Genomic DNA, 18177 nt, shown 5'->3' with positions numbered 1-18177 from the left:
GTTGAGGGTTTAGGCGTTTGATCATTACAGAAGTGAAAGACTTCAAAATTCTTTCTCTTGAGAGACCAAGGAAGACAGAGGCATTGTTTATGCCTTCTGTGTCTGAGGCCTGGGTGATATAGGGCAACAACACTGATGCTGCTGCTGAAAGAATTAACCACCCACACCTCCCAAACTCCAACAGTCTGCTTTAGATTTACATTTACTGCTGCTTCGTCTTTTCTCACAAATGCTAATGAAGTAACTTAAGGAAGCTGGAAGGCAATTTTTGGTGTAATATAGGTAAACTTCTTCGTAGTGTCTCAGTAAACAGAAACTAGATCTTCAGATTTACATACTCAATGCTTGAATTGAAAGCAAAGTGCTTGGCTACTGGTTCTCTTCAGCCCACTGTTTTCAGCAAATCTCTCCTGTTACCTCATTTATTTGCTGTGAGAATTCCAGCAAATGCAATCTCTCTTCTGTTCACTTACTGATGCGCTTGGAATTGATACCCCAGCTGTGTTTCTGTGCCTGATCTTCCCTTTAGCTCAAATCAAACTGTTTATTTCTTAAAAGACAGAAGCTTCCACCAAAAACTAAGCAACCATTTCTAAGCATCCAAATAATTGTGTGTTTTTGTGCTGTAAAATTCATGAGCATCTAATAGAAGCTGAAGGACTTTCACCCCAAAAAGTTCTATTAAGTTATAGCTTCAATCTTAGTTTTCCCCTTAAACTATAAGAATAATGCTGAGCCACACTAACTCTAATTGCAGTGAAGTCAGTCTTTAGTTACAAGAACTCAAACTATTCAAACCTTGGTTAATTAAAATTTAGACTAAATTTATATCTCAAACAATGTATGCAAGTGATAAGACTCATCTCAAAATTTTTTCGAAATGTCCAATTGCAGTGCTAGCCTTAGGGTCAGAACAGATTTTAATTATATTCTAGTTAGCTCCAGGGATCTATGAGCTTAAATGATTCGCCTCTGTACAATGTTGTTAAGGCACAGTCCCTATACCACTACATTCCTAATAATATATACAGTCATACCTCATTTAATGATGAAGATTCATTGTGAGAAATACATTCTTATGTGATTTTGTCTTTGTGGGAACATCATAGGGTATACTTACACAAACTTAGGTGGTGTAGCCTACTACACACCTAGGCTATATGCCATAGGCTATTGCTCCTAGACTGCAAATTTATACAGCATGTTACTATACTGAATATTACAGGCAATTGTAACACAATGATAGGTATTTGTGTATCTAAACATAGAAAAGGTACAGTAAAATACAGTATAAAAGATTTTAAAATGGTACACCTATATAAGGGCCCTTACCATTGAAAACCAAAAATAAATTTTAAGCCCCACAACAGATTGATGGACTCTTCCCTTGGCCAAGGGCATTCCAAAGTTAATCTGAAAAACTAGTTCAGGCCATGATGGGAAGTAGGAGTCAGACATGCCTCATTATATACTCCTCCCTTTGGAATCCAGGCAGAGCTGACCAGTATTAACATTAAAATAGAGACCTTAAGACCAATAGAAAAGACTCTTTAAGACAGATAAGAGACATCCCCTTCTATTGATACTATCTGCGTAATGGGCACCTTGGTCTGCACAGCCCCTTATCTTAATCCAGTTATTCCCTTCTATTGATTCTAGGTCTTCAGACAATAACTTAACTCTTTTGACCAATTGCCAATTAGAAAATTATTGAATCCACCTATAACCTGGAAGCCCCCACTTTGAGTTGTCCTGCCTTTCCAGACCAAACCAACGTACATCTTACATGTACTGATTGATGTCCTATGTCTCCCTAGAATGTATAAAACTAAACTGTAGCCCAACCAGCTTGGGAACATGTTCTCAGGATTTCCTGGGGCTGTGTCACAGGCCATTGACACTCATATTTGACTCGGAATAAATCTCTTTAAATATTTTACAGAGTTTGACTCTTTTTATCGACACCACGAATGAGGGTTATAGGACTGGAAGTTGCTCTGGGTGAGTCAGTGAGTGAGTAGTGAGTCAATGTGAAGACCTAGGATATAACTGTACACTTTTGTAGGCCTTATAAACACTGTGAACTTCGTCTACACTATATTTATTTAAAATTTTTTTCTTCAATAAACTAACCTTAGATTTCTGTAACTTTATAACCATGTTAACATTTTGACTCTTGTAGTAACACTTAGCTTAAAACACATTGTACAGCTGTACAAAGACACCTTTATATTCTTATTCTATAAGCTTTCTTCTATTTTTAAAATTTTTAAATCTTTTTACTATTTAAACATTTTTGTTAAAAAATAAGACACAAACATTAGCCTAGGCCTACACAAGGCCACAATCATTGGTATCTCTGTCTTTCACCTCCACATCTTGCGGCACTAGAAGGTCTTCAGGGACAATAACACACATGGAGCTGTCATCTCCCATGATAACAATGCCTCCTTCTGGAACACCCCTTGAAGGTCCTGCCTGAGGCTCTTTAAATTAACTTTTTTCTTAACAAGTAGAAGGATTACACTCTAAAATAAGGATAAAAAGTATAGTATGGTAAATAAACCAGTAAGTCATTTATTATCATTACATATTGTACATAACTGAATGTGCTTTACTTTTATGAATGGCAGCACAGTAGCTTTGCTTACAGCAGCATCATCAAAAACATGAGTACTGTATTGTGCAACCACTTTATGAAAGCTACATCACAAGAAGATAGGAGTTATTTTAGCTTCATTATAACTTATGGAACCGCCACCATATATGTGGTCCTTTATCAACCAAAACATCATGATAAAATTCACAACTATAATTGGCAGGTTTTTTTCAAATATCCAGAAGCTGGTTATGTTTCCAACAATTTCTTCTGGCTGCTATACAGACAATTATTAGTAACTTTCTTCCAGGGTTCATTGATGAGAAGTATGCTCTTCAAAATGTTAAAGGATGGTTGGACTTTACTGTTTATTTCTACCGCTACTTCATTCAAGATGCTGGTATCTCTCCAATCAACATAAAAATTTCAACATCAAACGTTGAATGCTTTATTTTAAACTTTTATGCCAACTTAGCACTGTATAGCCAACAACACTTCTCATCCAGTATGAATCAAATACGTTCGTGAGATTAAGTAATGCCCAAAGATAATCTAAATGGAACAAAGTAGTGTAGTATATCAACTGAAGCATATGCAGAAACTCACAAGGTACAAGCATGTGTGTGTAATGGCGTCTACTCTCTTGGCTTATAGACTTTGAAAATAATGCATAGTATATTAGACTATTTATTATTAAAATGGTGTAAGTCAAAGAAAAAGCACCAAGGCAAGTCTCAATCACTTTAGGAGATTTATTTGCCAAGGTTAAGGATGTATCTGGGAAAGAACAGAGATCCACAGAAAACTAGGTGGTTCATGCTGTTTCTGAAGAGGGTCTGGAGACCTCAATATTTAAAAGGAAAATGGCAGGTATTGGAGAAAGAGGAAGACTTTTTTTTAAAAGGGTGTGAGTAGATAAGACACAAGTGGTTGCATTCTTTTGAGTCTTTGATCAGCCATTCACATGTGGGGTTGGGGGGGTAGAGGAATGTCACTTATGCATTCACCTAGCTCTATGAATCTGAAATTTTACATAAGATAAAGTAAACATAGGACAGAGGAAACATCAGATATACATTTGTCTCAGGTGAGCAGAGAGATGACATTGAGTTCTGTCTTTTGTCCTGTACCTGTGAAGATAAGCTATCAATTTACATTGTCAGAATGAAATTCCACAGACCTATTTTAGGGTAAAGACCTTGGGGCCCAGAAGATATGTCCTTTTGAGTAAATTGTGAGGGAGGGATGGAGCTTTTTCATCTTTGTTGCTATCTTATTTAAGAACACAATGAGAGGCAGGTTTGTGTGACCCAGTTCCCAGCTTGACTCTTTCCCTTTGGCTTAGTGAATTTGGGGTTCTGATATTTATTTTCCTTTCACAATGGAAAATAACATAAACATGTATATGGGTATACATTTTGTGTGTATGTGCATGTATATCTGCACACACGTGTGTGAACATGTGTGTGCATATGTATATACATGTGTATATGTGCATATGTGTAAGTACTTACATCTCCCATATACTATTTCAAAATTAACATTCTGTATCCTATAACTATGTTCCAGGACAGTGACAAACAAGGTATGTTCTAACACCAAACTCCTTCATCTCTTCTCCTAAACAATGATATTTCTGATCAGAAGAGTAAATGTTTCCTGTTCCAGTTGTGTTCTGCCTTGGTTCTATGTGTCTCAACTGATGCTCCAGCCACTGCACAAGGACCAGCTTCCCACAGGCAATCTGGAAGTAGCCCCCACTTTTTGACTGGTGACTTCTTTGACTCCAGGGAGTGGGAAACTGCCAAGCACTTGACACACATTCATGGCACCCCATTGCCTGGCACCTCCTTCCCTGTCTTCTCTCCTTCCCAACTCCCATTCTTTAAGATAACTCTCTGAATGAACAACCTGCATGGAAGCCTTTGTCTCAGGCACTGTTCTCAGGAAAACACAGGCTAAGAATTAAGCCCTTCATAAGGATGTCAAATGAAGAAAGATCTAATGCTATTCACCATGTTGCTTTTATCCAGGCAGAGATATAGATACTTTAGAACAGTTTAAATATTATGAGATGAAACTGCTATTTTTGAGTCTCTTCTGTTAAGCAGATAATTCAATTATAGGCTATTGTCACTATTTAAAAACCTATTTTGCAGCAGATATTCTATAGTGATTTTAAAATATTTTATTTGGAATCAAAGTTTTTTCTAGAAAAAGTACTTTTCTAATGTTAATGTAGCATGTTGTTAAAAGACTATAATTGAAGTATTTATTTGCTCCTTGTCTTTTCCAATTGAACCCCATGTGGAGATTTGGAGAGAAAATGTGCTCAGCTACAAGACTATATTTATCCTTCTTCCACGCAGCTAAGCAGGGCTGTGTGGCTAAGCTCTGGCAAAGAGATGAAAGAATAAAATACAGAACTCCCAGAAGTTCTCTTAAGAGGGAAGCAAATACAGCCTTCTCAGATGCCTTTGCCCTTCTTCTGGATGCCTACCTTGAAAATGGTTCTGATGATTGGATGGCCAGCAGTAATTTGAGCAATGAGGTGATTTTCAGAAAGGAAGCCGAGAATGGGAAATAGAAGAGCAGAAATTTGAACTCAGGGTCCCTCATAACCACAGAATCACCATGCGAGATGTGAGAGGCTCAGCTCCAAGCATCTGTTACATAAGTAGAAATAGTCTATCATTTTGAGTCATTTTATCTGTCACATGCATTAAAAAATAATCATAACATTAAAATTCCACGTGTAGAAATTGCAGGCAAGTGTTAAGGTAGTGGTTCTCATCAGGGGTGATGTTGTTTCTAGGAATGTTTGAAAACATTCAAGCACATTTTTGGTGGTCACAACTTGAAGCGGAAAGAGTTACTACTGGCATCCAACAGGTAGAGGTCAGAGATGATGTTAACCATCATATATGCACAGGACAGCCCTCACAACAAGGAATTATCTGGTCCAAATATTAACAGAGCCAAAGCTGAGAAATCCTGCACTAAGCTAATCCATACCACCATAATCCCTCACCCTACCCCTCTGCACTGCCCCCATATCAACTGATTGCTCTATACAAGAAGTTGCCCAAATGATTCTTCAAATAAATCTGCTTTGTTGGTTTACCCTTTTGATTTTAGCCTGATTGGTGTTATTTTTCCTCCAGAGTAGCAGAAAGATAGCAGTAACTTTCTAATGTCATAAAGTACATATTCTCCTGACTTTTTTTTACTTTTTTGAGAGATTTTACTGACAGACAACAGAGCAAAGTAGGAGTTTAATTTTAGAACAACTAGATGAAATAGCAGATATAACCCAACTGCACACACTTCATTGTTTTCTTTCTAAAGCTAAAAACATTTGCCACCGTGGGAGGTGGTATAACACATATTCAATTATCCTCCTTGCACTTTGTTAAGACTTAAAAATATTTTTTGTTCATTTTCTTATTAAAAAATAAAAGATGTTCATCACAGAACATTTAGAAGTCATTATTATTGAGCAAAAGGAAGAAAATTACTACCATCTATAATCCCAACAGACCCAGAAAAACTATTAACTCCACAAAATATATGTGTTCAGATCTTTTTTCTATGGACATATATTATATTAGTACATACATGAGACCAATCTCTTATTCTTTACAAACAGCATTTTTTTCCCTATTTGGAAATATACCCCACTTTTAACAATGACTATCAATCTATCTTTCCAAAAGCCCAGATCTCCCTTTGAAAAGGGAAAAATAATTTGTTATATTTCTAAATGACAAAGAGTTTCACACAGATTCACTCTCTGCTTTAAGGATGATTAGACACTCTAAAAACACGGGGAATTTTCCTTACACATTAGCAAGGAAGGCCATTGTTCCTCTATTGCTTGAAGCATTCTCTACTGTTTTAGAAATTACAGCCTCCATCTATCTCCCTCAAACACTGACAAGCACATGCATATACATACATACGTACACACACATACATATACACATAAACACACATTACATTTTAGATATAAATATAGTTAATGTTTTATGTATTTAATATTTTCCATTGAGGCCTATGAGAATACATACCTTAAAATATATAATCAAAGCTCCTAGTAGGGAAAGAACCTCCCAGTTTGCTATTAATTTAAATAACAAATTGAAAGTTGTTTGAAAAAAGACAGCTTAGAAAAAGGAGCTGTCCTGCCTGGAGAAAGAGAAGGTTAGCGATATAATTGGTACTTACCAAACTGATATGCTTTTTAAAGAAAAGAAAATCATAAGGTTGGAAATCTGTAATTTTGTGAATTGACATTATATTCCAAAATATTTTACATGAGCTTACCGGGGAGTATTTGTTGCGCTAAAGAATTTCAGCTGGTCTGCTGTAGCACCATACCCAAGGAGAAGCCAGGTTTGCCTTCTCTGGCCTGCACTACCGAGCCAACCCCATTTATGTGTTCATACAGTAAGAAGAAAGGAGTTGGGTCTGATCCTACTAGCAGTTTATCTGAATATGTTGTCTCAGTCAAGAAAGGAGATAATCAAGCTTATTGAAGCTTGAGTCTACACACTGTTGCTAAAGATTTAGTCATTATGGAATCGTTTTCTTTTTATTTTGAAATGTACTGACATCTATTTCCCCATTTGCCTGTGATAGATCCAGAGAAGTTTAGTCACGTGGAATAAGCATTGTTTTGTGAATGATGTGTTACTTTCTGATGTGAATAGGGCCATGAACTTCTCTGGGCTATTGTCTCTCCTATATGAAAGTGATGCTCTCTATTAATCCTGAACACAGAAGCATGGGCTGATACACACTCTCATGTGTGCACACACACACCAGTGAAAGAGATATTAAATGTAGCTGAACAGAACTAAACCAATTTCACCAATTTCATTAAAGCTATGGGAGAGAGTTGAGCTTCAATAGTAAACTACGCGTTGTCTGTAACACACTCTTCAGTGTCGTCTGATTCTGAACTGTGTACATTGTAGATAACTGATAGCAATGCAAAATAATTATTGTGTATAGACATAAAAATGAATTCTGTTTGGTAGAAGGACAACCTTTTCTCCCTCCATGGTAAAGCTAGTTTTGATTCTAACACAGCAAAGGGTTAACTCAGCAGGCCTAGGTTGCTCCAATCCTGCACATTTCAAACAACAGCCCTTATTCAGGACTGGATCTTGGTCAGTTTCTGCGAGATAACCTCTGAGCCCTTAGAATATTCTGCCTGGTAAGAATGTTTTATAGGCAGGTGTAGTGGCTCACGCCTGTAATCCCAGCACTTTGGGAGGCTGAGGTGGGCAGATCACGAGATCAGGAGATCGAGACCATACTGGCCAACATGGTGAAATCCTGTCTCTACTAAAAATACAAAAAAATTAGCTGGGTGTGGTGGCGCGTGCCTGCAATCCCAGCTACTCGGGAGGCTGAGGCAGGAGAATCACTTGAACCTGGAAGGCAGAGACTGCAGTGAGCCAAGATCGTCCTACTGCACTCCAGCCTGGTGACAGAGCAAGACTCCGTCTCAAAAAAAAAAAAAAAAAAAAAAGAATGTTTTATATACTTTTTTTCTGCCCTGGGCCACTCTAAACTTCTTTGCCCAGATAAGCTTATCCTAACAATGTGATTTATGGTGAAAGTCTATTTTTACTCTGTGGGCTGGAGTCTGAGTAGCTGAGGTAAGTCACATGGCCACTGCATGCCTACATGATTGACCATCTCCTCCTAAAATCCATGGACACCAATACTCAGGTGAGCTTTCCATCACATGTGTTGTCACATACCATTGCTAGCAGACTTAAGTGCATCCCTATGCAAATCCCCTTGGTGGGAAGTGGTTACCTGGGAGCTTGTGTCTGGTTTCTCCTGGACTTTGTCCATTATGCCTTTTTTTCCTCTACCTTCACCAATTTTAATCTGTATCTTCTTGTAATAATATATAACCAAACAAATAATAGCTTTGTGTCCTGTGAGTCCTTCTAGCAAACAGAGCCTAAGGGTGGTCTTGGGAACCCCCAACACATGTCCATTTGCACATTATTTTCAATAGTCTGTGTCTATAAATGTGTTTGTTTTTTGGATATTTTCTGAAACAGTTAAAACATTTTCCTGATCTCTCATTAATTAGTGAGTTAAAGAAAATCTAACATGTATGTGTTTTAAATCTGTGAATCATTTTTACCTTTAAAAAAATTATGTTGTAGCACACTGAAGTATTTTTAAAAATATATATTTGAGTCTCTCAATACAGATAAATAAACACAAACATCCACCTCTCTTACAACTTTGCTTCTGGTTAGTATGTTAAATCAAAGCAAGTCTAAAACTAAATTCTTCCATGTACCATACAAGTACTTGCCAGCAAATGGAAACAAAGGAGAGTAAGTCATGTGTTCAGTAGTTAAGATCTTCCCAATAGCAGGCTCATGTGAGGCTCTCAGGGGGCAGACCATACCAGTTTACAGCAAGGGCCAGTAAAGCAGAGGGTCACAGGATTCCCAAAACTGCACTGATGTTAATCTACTATCAAGTTTTCTAAATTTTATAATTCATTCATGCAATTGCCTTGGGGGATTTGCATAGAAACTTACTAAGTAACTACCCTTAACACTTTTATTTCTCCAATGGAAAAATTAATTCTAACACCCATTATGCTACTAATAAACAACCTAGCTTGTGTAAATTTCCATATCAGAGTGCTAAGTTACCACCTCTAAAGGTGTTGATTTCTAATTGGGGTGCTTCCAATGATATGCTGCTTAGCCACTTGTGAAGTGTGTATTCCTGAATAGGGTGCTATATGGAAACTTACACTAGGATATAAATTCGAGTTAACTTGTATACACAAACATGTATCACACTGTTAATACCAAAATAGTCTTAAAATAAATTCTACACGGACAACAAAATGGCAATGTTAGGAAAAACAACACAGAAACTCAAAGCAACTATCATCATATGTTTTTCTTTTCATTGTCCGTTAGGTGTGCTTTGTTTTCTTTATTTATTTCATAAATAATCATTAATCAAAAATGTGTTGAGCATCCATTATACATAAATAGTATTGTCAGGTAATTGAGTGATCTTAAAATGATTAAGTCTTAGTTCTTCAAACAGAATAGAAAGAAAATAAAATATTATCAAATGTCCCACCAGAGAGTAATGACTTTAGAAATAATGTTGTCTTTAATTTTTTTTTTTTTTTTTGAGACGGAGTCTCACTCTGTACCCCAGGCTGGAGTGCGATGATGCAATCTCGGCTCACTGCAAGCTCCACCTCCCGGGTTCACGCCATTCTCCTGCCTCAGCCTCCCGAGTAGCTGGGACTACAGGTGCCCACCACCATGCCCGGCTAATTTTTCGTATTCTTATTAGAGATGGGGTTTCACCGTGTTAGCCAGGATGGTTTTGATCTCCTAACCTCGTGATTTGCCCGCCTTGGCCTCCCAAAGTGCTGGGATTAAAGGCGTGAGCCACCGCGCCCGGCCTGTTGTCTTTAATTTTTATAGTAACATTAAAAGGTTGGTATTATGACCACCACTGCATAAAGATAAAACTGAGGTTCAGACAGTAACATATCTTGCCACACAAGGTGGTGAATCCCAGATTGTAACCCAGATTGTATGGTGAATACCTCCATAACCCATGTTCTTTTCCCTAGAATATAGTAAATGTACATCTCTTTCCCCAAAACCGACCTTGGACTAATAAATACATAAGCATCACTTCCTAGGCATCCCTCCCAAAGAAAAATAAAATTAATATTCAACAAGTGACTTTGTATCACAACCAGCGTGATAGATTTTATGCATGCCTTATCTCATTTTCACAAAAATTTCAAAAGCTTTGATAGATTAGTACATAGCTGAATTGATTTAGACTTAGGATATTAAGTTGATAGTCTACTAAGTTTATTCATTTTTTGGAACAAAGTTTCATCATATTATAAATTTAATCTACTCTATGCATATGTTTTTTTTAAAAAAATAAACATTTCATTTTATGTAGTTATAGATTTACAGAAAACTGTAAGGGTAGTACAAAGAATTATCATGACCTGCATCCAGTTTTCCCTATTGTTAACCTCTTACATTAGTATTGTCGACCCAAATGAGGAAGAGAAAGAGAGAGAAGGGGAGAAATAGAGAGACAGAGACTCTTAAAGGAAATGTTTATTTGGGAGTAGGCATTGCAATGAGAATACAGGTGCCATAGTAAACTATGTGCAAATTCAGCAAGGAACACAAAGGATTTTAAAAAAAAAAACAAAACAAAAACCAAGATTACATTCTTGTTTTGAGATAGTTATCCTTGGCTACAAAAATTAGTAACAAGAGTGTTGCCAGTTCAAGGTAGATAGGCAGCTGCTGGGCAGATGTCCTCACAGAAGTACTTTTTAAATGTAAGGTTGCAATGGCCCTTGAGCAAGGGTGTGGCTTTTGCAGAGTCCTTTGTGATAATTCTTGTTACTGAGCTTTGTGGATATGAACTCTCCCTTCGTGACCTTTCCCAGCTCTATTTGTTAGAATTTTTATTAAAGTGACTCTATTTTAATTCTGACAACTTGCACAATATGGCACATTTGTCAAAATGAATGAATCAGTATTAATACATTATTATTAACTAAAGCCCATAATTTCAGTCCAAATTTCACTAGTTTGTACCTGACATCCTTTTTATGTTCCAGGGTCCCATCAACAGATTACATTTAGTCATCATGTCTCTGTTAGCACCTGTGACAATTTATTTATGATGATACTGGAAGTTTTGAGCAGTACTGGTCGGGAATTTTATAGTGTCCCTTAATTGGAATTTAGCTGATGTTTTTCTCATGATTAGATCATAGTATGGATTTTGGGGAAAAACAGCACAGAGGTAAAGTGCTGTTTTCATCACACATATTATAAAAATGACTTATCACTGTTGATGTTAACTTTAATCACGAGGCTGAGGTAGTGTCAGGTTTCTCCAATTGCTATGCAATACAACATATTCCCAGGTTCTGGTGATTGTAATTTGAAGATACAATAATATTTCTGGATAGAGAACCTAAAAAACTCAAGCAGGTAGGTAAAAGGTATCTATTATAATGGTCATTATTTTTTATAGCAACAAGATTTAAAACAAGCTAAATTTCCAACTGGAAGAGAATGGGTAAATTGTGCTATAATCATATAGAAAAATGTTATATAGTGACTAAAATGTATAAGACAGATTCCATGCAAATATCAACAGGGATACATGTCATAAACATAATATAAATTAGTAAAACATGCAGAATATTAACATAATTTATGCCACTGCTTAAGTGCATATGGGTATAGTTTGCTATACAATTCATGGGGCCTTTCAAGGAAAATAATACAAAATCACATATGAAAACTGAAAACGTAGATACACAAATAAATATTTATTTAGATTGTAAAAAGAAATCACAACAAATTACTCAAGTCTTTTTTTTTTCTGAGATTCCTACAGGGCAATATTTCAGGAATGCTACTTAATTGCATCCTGGCTTTCCTTTGATATTGATCATTCTCCAAGACACACAGAGAGCCAAGTATGGGGTGGGGGACTCTGGCACTTTGCTTTATTAGCTTCAAGAAAAATGCACCATCTTATCTTGTACATGTAAAAGTGTAAACACACGAATGTTTATTGTAGCTACAACATTTTCTTCCTCTAAAATAAATGAATAAACAAATAAATTAAAAACATCCAAATAACAGAATTACACATTTCTCTCATTACAGATCCAACATCCTTTTTTGAGTACAAGTGGTTTTTGGTTACATGGATAAATTGTATAGTGGTGAAGTCTAGGATTTTAGTGCATTTATTATACCAATTCATTTGCATTTGTGTACCCATAGCTTAGCTCCCACTTATAAGTAAGAACATACGTTATTTGGTTTTCTATTTCTGAATTACTTCACTTAGAATAATAGCCTTCAGCTCCATCCAAGTTGCTGTGAAAGACATTATTTCATTCTTTTTTATGGCTGAGTACTATTCCATGGTGTATATATACCATATTTTATTTATCTGCTCATTGGTTGATGGGTACTTAGGTTTGTTTTGTGTCTTTGCAATTGTGAATTGTACTGCAATAAACATACACATGCAGGTGTCTTTTTGGTATAATGATTTTTTTTTCCATTGCAGACTCAACTTCTTAAACTCAACAGTTTTACCACCATTCATGATCTTTCCAACAAACCCAGTTCCTCCACTTGACTGTTCCCACTACTTCTCCAGAGCACCTGGATGAGGATGGTGATGATGATGATGATGATCAGGCTTGCTACCCACTCTTCCTGCTTTCATCCTTGCTTTCCATTTCTATTTGGTATAGAGCAACACAGATGATCTTCTAGAATGTGGATCATGTTGCATCACTTATTTCCAAAACTCTTCAATGGCTTCACCTTTCACTTAGAATACAAGACTTTTCATGTGGCCTGATTACTGCTCCAGTTGGGTGCTTATCAAGCAGTTGCACTTCAGGCAGCCCCCTAGACATGTCTGGAGCTCATTTATTCACTCACTTGGTCCTCATGTAAAATGTCATTTAGGGGAGAAGCATTTCCAGACAAAACTACCCTATTCAAAATAGCTCTGCACTATTCTCGTCTTTCAGCCTCTTTCCTTCTCATTATTTTTTCTTATTCTTACTAATTACCACCCAACACCTGTTTTAGTTGTTAATTATCTGTCTCTCCCAAAACAATAGAAGCTACAAGAGAATAAGGACTCCCGGTTCACTGATGTAGCCCAGTGCACATAAAGGACACTATTATTACTGGTTGCATGTCAATCGATTGAGTAAATAAATGAATAATTTGAGTTAAAGTATTTTAAGGTTATTAAAAAGTGGGCTCTGAGGAAAGAGGGTATTTCTAGATTTACAAGGAGAGGGAAAGGGAGGGAAGAATTGCATATAGTTTGATTGACCTATAAGGGAGAGATAAAGACAAATACAAGGTCACCGAGTAAATGCAGCCATCGATATACTTGGAAGACAAGGGGATAAGGAAACGAGTGTAGGTTGGTTTCCTGGGTCTCAAGTTTGTATAAAGAAACATTGCTCAAAAGACCTTAAAAGTAGATTAGAAAAAGGTTGTGCTACATCTTATATACCAAGATAAGAAATATATATTGTTCAATTGTCGAGGGTTTATGTTGAAGTTTTTAAAAAGACAATTATACAATCAGAGACATGCTTCAGAAAAAGTAATACACAGTTGTAGAAAAGATGAATTAGTGAAGCCATGAGAATCAGAGAATGGATTACAAAACTAAAGCAAACAGTCATAAAGACTTGAATTATCTGTACCTTTATGCTGTCCACAGAGAGGCTCAGCAGAAGTATATATGATTAGTCATAATTAATCCTGCCTGCAAGTTAAAATCACCTCGGAAGCTTTTTAACTACCCCAAGCCTGGGCCACACCCCAGATCAATTAAAGCAAAGTATGTGGTGTAAGACTCATGTATTAGGTTGTTTTTAAAAGTCTCCAGTAGATTCTAGTATGCAGCCAGGGTTGAGACCTACAACCAATAATCAGGGTAATTAAATTGAATAAGTGATTCTTAAAGTGCTGGTCTCTTCAGCATTAACTGGGAATTTGTTAGAAGTGTAAATCAATTTCTAATTTGTTATAATTAAAACCTACTCAGACCTACTGAAATGGGGGAGGGGGGAGCAGCAAAATGTTTTTTCACAAGCCCTGCAGGTGATTTTGATGCACTGAAGTTGAGAACCACTGGCCTAAGGTTGTCCCATTCAGTAAAAAAGGAAGGAAAGAAGGAAGGAAGGAAAGAAGGAAGGAAGGAAGGAAGGAAGGAAGGAAGGAAGGGAGGGAGGGAGGGAGGGAGGGAGGGAGGGAGGGAGGGAGGGAGGAAGGGAGGAAGGAAGGAAGGGAGGGAAGGAAAGAAAGAGAAAGAAAGAAAGAAAAAAGAAAATACAGTATCTTTCATGGGACATACTTATGCTTAAACAGTTTTTGCTGCTTATCTGAAATTTACATTCAATTGGAAATCTTGTACTTTACCTGTCAATCCTAAATTAAAGGATAAGATGACATTGCAGTAAAGCTAGTTTTTTAAGCTTAAATGCTTAGGAAAAAATGGCATTAGCAACTAAGAAAAGGAAGATGCTAACAGAAAGTACCAGCTTAGTTGAACATTATGAATCTGGTTGTAGACACCTTGGGATGAAGTTGTCTTTGGGTGAAAGTATCACATAGACTATATTGAAAATAGGCAGCTAGAAATATCTGCTTAAATACTGTAATTAAGAAAGTATCAAAGGAAAAGGTGTCAAAAGAATGAAATGTAGGGAAAATATCTGTTTCAATTAGAGAAGAGAAATGAGCAAGCAAATGAGATAAGAGGTATTTCTTAATGTATTTACACCGTGTTTTGTGTGTATGATTATTATAGAACATTAATTAACGGTTCAATATACATACAAGGTACCAATAAGCTCTTTGAAGGCAGGGACTACACATATTATATATTTTTAAAAATTTAATCACCACAAGCCCTAGCATAGTAATATACACACAGAGTCTATTCAATTAACTACCAACTAACCCTATTCAAGAGAATGACTGACTGGATTAATATTTTGGAATTAAATGAGATAAAAAGGTGTTTGTGTTCTTAAGATACGATTTGGAATGAAAATGTGCCTATCCCAACAGTGTGTAATAATTTAAGAGTTAGGCTCAAAGATGGAAACGACATAGCAGCAAGTAGTTTTGTTTCACTATTAAAACAAAAATCATGAGGAGAGGCGAAGTTAATAGTATATTTTCTATTAACATGGTATGAAGTAACTTAAATAGCTTAAAAAACAATGACATGAGGTATTAGAATGGAGACTGGGTCTGAAAGGACATGGGGAAATTATAAAACTGCCAGGCTGGAAAAACAATGATATATAAAAAGTGCTTAGTATTGCTTTATTTCCTAAATATACTTGTGTTTTAATGGACAATAAAGGCATTTCTTACAGTAATCAATGTATTTAACGGAATGCTTTTTTTACTTGAAAATGCAGATGTTGTACTTCTGACCACTCAGCTTCAATTGGCCTCATGGTAGGTTGTAATATCATTAAAAAAGGAACTGGTTGTAAAACTAAGTCCTCATCTCAGTGGAGGAATTTATGGCTCCAATAAAAGAAAGAACCCCAAGGTTCACTGACTGGACTCTACTGAAGAAAGGGAAAGTAATGCTTAGGGGTTTTTCTGTACTATATGACTAGGTCATGGTAACAAAGGTGGGTGGATGTAGTGAATAGCTGAAGATGCTAAAGGAAATAGTTTAGCCTAAGGGGAAAAACAGGGGATGGACATTTGGATTGTTGAAATAAAAATGAACCTCATCTGTGAAGGTGCAAGTGAGAAGTAATTTGTCTATTTTACTCAGCAGGATCTTGGTTGGACATTTCTACTGCTCCAGTAAATCACTTATGGAAACTGCCTCTTTGGACAATGTATTAGTTTCCTATTGCTGCTGAAACAAATTGCCGCAAGTCATAGTGACTTAAAACAACACAAATGTGTTATCTTATAGTCCTGGATGTCACAGTACAGGACGAGTTTTCCTGGGGATAAAATTCAGGTGTGGCTATGCTGTGTTCCCTCTGGAGGGTCTAGGGGAAAATCTGTACCCTTGTCTTTTTAAGCTTCTAAAGACTGCCTGCGTTTCTTGGCTCATGCTCCTTCTGCCATCTTCAAAGTCAACAAAGACCGGTGTTATCTCACATCAAATCCCAAAGACACTGAGCTCCTGCCTCCCTTTTTCACTTATAAAGATCCTTGAGATTACATTGGGCTAACCTAGATAATACAGGATTATCTCCCCCATCTCAATATCCTGAACTTAATCATGTCTGTAAAGTCCTTTTTTGTGCGTGTGTGTGCCTTGGAAGGTAACATATCCATCGGTTCTGTGGATTAGGATATAGACATCTGTGGGGGCCATTATCATGCCTCCTACAGACAGACAACACCTTTTTGATTTGTATTGAAATGTATATGCTCCATAGTAAACAGATTCATAAGGAGTTGAGCATGGTGAGACTTCCCAGGTATGAATGATCATTTTAAAGTGTGTCTGTGTTCTTTCTGCTTTGTGTCTCATCAGCAGTAATAAACCTGGCTATTAGTATTTAGGTGGTGATATTTTTACTTACTCAGAGGGCAAGAAAGACGGCATTATAGTTCTTTTATAGATCTCAAGGTTATTGAAAAGTCACCACGACTGAGGCCTTATTATATCCATGAAATATATTTCACATAAAAATGTACAAGGAGAGGTATACAGTGGAAAGAGTAACATTTTACCTAATATGATTTTTCACTATCCTCATTCTTCATGAAAAAAAAAGAATTGGGGGGCAAGTCTCAGAGACGCAGGACTACAATAGGAGAGATAAGATGAAGCTATCTGCATTGTTGAAAGGATAGAGAACACCAGTGAGATCACAGAACAATCACCAACATGTACAGAAGATCTGAGCGCAATAATTAAACTTGGCAGGGTGCGTAGACAATAGTGGCATGTGTCCAATAAGAAACAGGGTAATAGGATGGCAGATAGATGCCTAGTTGGGAGGAAGGGAGAAAGTGGGTAGCATTAAAACAGAAGAGAGGAGCTTATGAGTGGGTCACTTATAATAGAACATGAAGTACAGCTTCAGGCCCTCAGCAGTTGTTAAATTAATGAATGAGATAATGGAAGAGGATGACCTTTGGATCAGTGAAAATGTCCAGCCTCTTGACTTGATGAGTGTATCCAGCCCTCAGGTGAGAATCAGATGTGTTATGAAAAGAAGTATACATAAGGAGATAACATGGGAATATAAAGGGTTTAAAGAAATTCAGAAGGGAGGGCAACATCCATTAGGGTAATGTGGGGGCTAAGATGACAAAACCAGCATAAAAGAAACACAATTACAACATGAAAAGCATGTTGTTGTTAATGTATTATAAAAGAAAATTAAAGAAGGGGACTCAGTGTTTCAAGAGGCCAGCTGATAGTGACAGCTCAGATCTCACACAGAAGGCTCTGTTTTTGAAGTATGCTCAGTTAAACACTCATTGTAGATGATTATACAGGATCAGAGTCAGCTAAGAAAGCTAGACCAAAGGCAGAATAAAAAATGTGAGATAATAGACACATTATCTGACTTAAAACAACAACAAATTTTTTTTTTGGTCTTATTCAAAAGGCCCATGAACAGCAGGGAAAAGTAGAATAACAGAAAAAAATGTTTTGTTTTCTGTAAAATTGAGAAACAACTTGAACATGATTTTGTCTGAGAAGCTATGTTAATATAATAATGTAAAAGTACTCAGTCTTCAATTTCACCAAAGCCAGTTAAAGAGATAGTGTATTTATCCCAATCAGAATTCATAGCAGTATGGAGCCATAAAAAATATTCTGGAAGATGAGTCCTGGGAAGCTGTTTACTGTTGTCTTTCTGAATTGTCACTATAACAAACAATCTCTGTGTTTAGACTCTATCTCAAACTTTCTCAGTCTTACATTGTTTTGTGTGTTTGAATTGCTTA

This window comes from Homo sapiens, chromosome 14 (assembly GCF_000001405.40).
Source record: "Homo sapiens chromosome 14, GRCh38.p14 Primary Assembly".
NCBI lineage: Eukaryota > Metazoa > Chordata > Mammalia > Primates > Hominidae > Homo > Homo sapiens.
Note: the sequence above shows the minus strand (reverse complement) of the source record.